General features: G+C 43.5%; 1 annotated feature.

Annotated features, from left to right (window-relative positions):
- Nucleotides 1,546-2,745: an enhancer, noted in NCBI's record as "BRD4-independent group 4 enhancer chr8:40206788-40207987 (GRCh37/hg19 assembly coordinates)". NCBI's record gives its function as "activates an origin of replication core promoter dependent on BRD2, P300/CBP, MED14 and CDK7 cofactors, and independent of BRD4, by STARR-seq in HCT116 cells {active_cell/tissue: HCT116}" and the evidence as "EXISTENCE:reporter gene assay evidence [ECO:0000049][PMID:35650434]".

Consider the following 3,472-nt stretch of genomic DNA (forward strand, 5'->3'; position numbering starts at 1 on the left):
TGACCTCCTGTCTCTTCTTAACTTCTAATGTCATGGGTTGTTTCTGCAATGCTAATCATATCCTTCTCCAATGGTTCCTAACAAATTTAGAAATGTAATAGAAATCAAATCGGAGTCGGCTGGACACGGTGGCTCGAGCCTGTAATCCGGCACTTTGGGAGGCCAAGGTGGGTGGATCACCTGAGGTCAGGAGTTTGAGACCTGACCAGCATGGCCAGCATGGCAAAACCCTGTCTTTACTAAAATACAAAAATTAGGCCGGGCGCGGTGGCTCACGCCTGTAATCCCAGCACTTTGGGAGGCCGAGGCGGGTGGATCACGAGGTCAGGAGCTAGCAAGACCATCCTGGCTAACACAGTAAAACCCCGTCTCTACTAAAAAATACGCAAAATTAGCCCGGCGTTGTGGCGGGCGCCTGTAGTCCCAGCTACTCGGGAGGCTGAGGCAGCAGAACAGTGTGAACCTGGGAGGCGGAGCTTGCAGTGAGCCGAGATCATGCCACTGCACTCCAGCCTGGGCGACAGATTGACACTTCGTCTCAAAAAAAAAAAAAAAAAAAAATCAGCTGGATGTGGTGGTGGATGCCTGTAATCCCAGCTACTTGAGAGGCTGAGGCAGGAGAATTGTTTGAACCTGGGAGGTGGAGGTTGCAGTGAGCCAAGATTGTGCCACTGCACTCCAGACTGGAAGACAGAGCAAGACTCTGTCTCAAAAAAAAAAAAAAAAAAAAAAAAAAAAAGAAATCAAATCAGAGTGAATATGTTAGCTTAATTGCAGGTAAACCTGTATTAGGGACTTCAGGTATGGCAAAACTGAGACTTCTATCACTTTCCTCAAAGTCTAAAGGAGTTTGGACCCACATGAAATCATAGCTACATCTGACCCAGCCAGTTACACTTTTCAGTACAGACCTCACCACCTTCCTCCCTCTTTCTCATCACAGGCAGCTTGCACTAATTTTTTTTCTTAGAATCTTTTTATCTAAATCACTTTGTTTAGTTGTTTAAGAAACATTGTACATATGCACAACCTGCCAAGGCAGATTTTCCCACACTTTTTATGTTGTGCAAAAAATTCTGTAAACACCTTTAAACTAGGTTTTCATGGCTGAAATGCGATACATTTTGACCTCTATTCTCTTGTTTTGTTTTTGCAAGTCATGGGAAAATACTGATGTAACAGCTTGTTCTTTTCAGAAATTATGCTGATGGAGCTCTGATCTTTCAGCCATAGGCTGGGTCTGGCTCCAGCCAATGTACAGCAGCTTCCCCTTACCCACAGGGGATATTTCCCAGGCCCCCAGTAGACACTGAAATGTCTACTGTGAATGACATCGAGCCCTATATATACTACGTTTTTTACTACACATACATATCTATTGCTATGGTTTGGATATGATTTGTTAGGCCCGATCAAATCTCATGTCACAATTTGATCCGCAATGTTGGACGGGGGGCCAGATAGGAAGTGTTTGGATTCTGGCGGAGGATGCTTCATGAATGGCTTGGTGCCATTCTCCTGGGAGCGAGTGAGTTCTCACTCAGTTCTAGTGAGAACTGGTTTTTTCGGAGTCTGACACCTCCTCTTATCTTTTTCTTTTTTCCCTAGCGGGACGCCTTTTCTCCTTCTGACCTCGGACATCAGACTTCAGGTTCTTCAGCCTTTGGACTCTGGGGCTTGCACCAGCGGCTTCCGTGGGGCTGTCAGGCATTTGGCCTCAGGCTGGGAGCTGCTCTGCCAGCTTCCCTGCTTCTCAGGTTCCACACTTGGACTGGCTCACTGAGTTTGTGGGGCTTTTCATGTTCATAACATCATGATGCTCATCACATCATGAACCCTGAAATAATAAACAGTCTTCTCAAGATCGTTAAACACCTATTCTGCTGTCAGATTCTGTAGATATTGGAAGTGGCTTTGGGTTCATATAACTCTCGGGTGTGACTCCTAGCTCCTCTGTTTAGCAGCTGTTTGGCCTTCTGCAGTTGGCTTCTATCATTCCCCAGCTTGCAGAAATCATTTAAACCTATCTGGTGGAGGGATCTTACCTTTATGGTCATGTGAGCCAATTCTCTTTAATAAATTCCCTTTCAAATATATGTTTTCTATGGATTCTGTCCCTCTGGAGAAGGAAGCCTGACTAATACACCTATGATAAAGTGTAATTTATAAATGAGGCATAGTAAGAGTAACAACAATAAAAAAAAATAGAACATTATAACAATACACTGTAATAAAGTTACATGAATGTCTCTCTCAGGACATCTGATTGCACTATGCTCACCCTTCTTGTGCTGATGTGAGAAGATACAATGCCTTTGTGGTGAGATGAAGTGAGACAAATGAGTTAGAAATTGTGACATAGCATTATTAAATAAAATAAGGGTGACGTGCATACAAGCACATCATAGTTCATGATAAGCACTGCCATATCATGACCATTGAGCTGATAACTGAGACAGTTGCTAGTTGACTCAGGGGTTGATGACATCTACAGTGTGGATTTGCTGGACAAAGGGATGATTCATACCTTGGGTGGGACAGAGCAGGACTGGGAAAGATTTTATCACTCTACTCAGAACAATGCACAATTTAAAACTTATGAATTGTTGATTTTGGGAATTTTCCATTTAATATTTTCAGTCTGTGGTTGACCTTGGGTAAATAAAACTGGAAAAGAGGAGACAACTGTATTAGCTGGCAGAGAGAAAAATGGGACTTGCTTCCCTGAACAGCCCCCAGAAACTTAGTGGAAACCATAAAATTTTTATGTTGCCCATTCATAGACACTCACATGTTGGGTAAGGGTGTGAGGCTTCTGGGGTTTCCACATTTACAGGATGGTCCAGGAGCTACCTCTACAGGACATGGCAAGACAAAGGCAGAAGCAAGTAAGTGTCCGGTGCAGGACCTTTGCAAGCAGTGAGCACTTGCTTAAATTTTACCCTGTGATTTCAAAGCCAGTCCCACATTCCAATCGTACTCTGTTTTGTTGTTTCATTTTGTTTTCCATAGCTTCTAAGCGGGATGCCAAATCTGTAATTAACCAATCCTCAGGCTATACAATAATAGAAATAGTTTATATTAGAGGGATGACTCACTGGCTGTGCTCCAAAGAAGTTCTGTTCAATTTTTCAAATTGAAATATATTTTATTTTATTTTATTTTTTATTTTTATTATTATCTTTTTTTTGAGACAGAGTCTCGCTCTGTCGGCCAGGTTGGAGTGCAGTGGCGCGATCTCGGCTCACTGCAAGCTCTGCCTCCTGGGTTCACGCCATTCTCCTGCCTCAGCCTCCCGAGTAGCTGGGACTACAGGTGCCCGCCACCACGCCCGGCTAATTTTTTGTATTTTTAGTAGAGACGGGGTTTCACAGTGTTAGCCAGGATGGTCTCAATCTCCTGGCCTAGTGATCCACCCGCCTTGGCCTCCCAAGAAATATATTTTATTTTATTATAGAGTCAAGAGGTACAT

Source organism: Homo sapiens, chromosome 8 (assembly GCF_000001405.40).
Source record: "Homo sapiens chromosome 8, GRCh38.p14 Primary Assembly".
Lineage (NCBI taxonomy): Eukaryota > Metazoa > Chordata > Mammalia > Primates > Hominidae > Homo > Homo sapiens.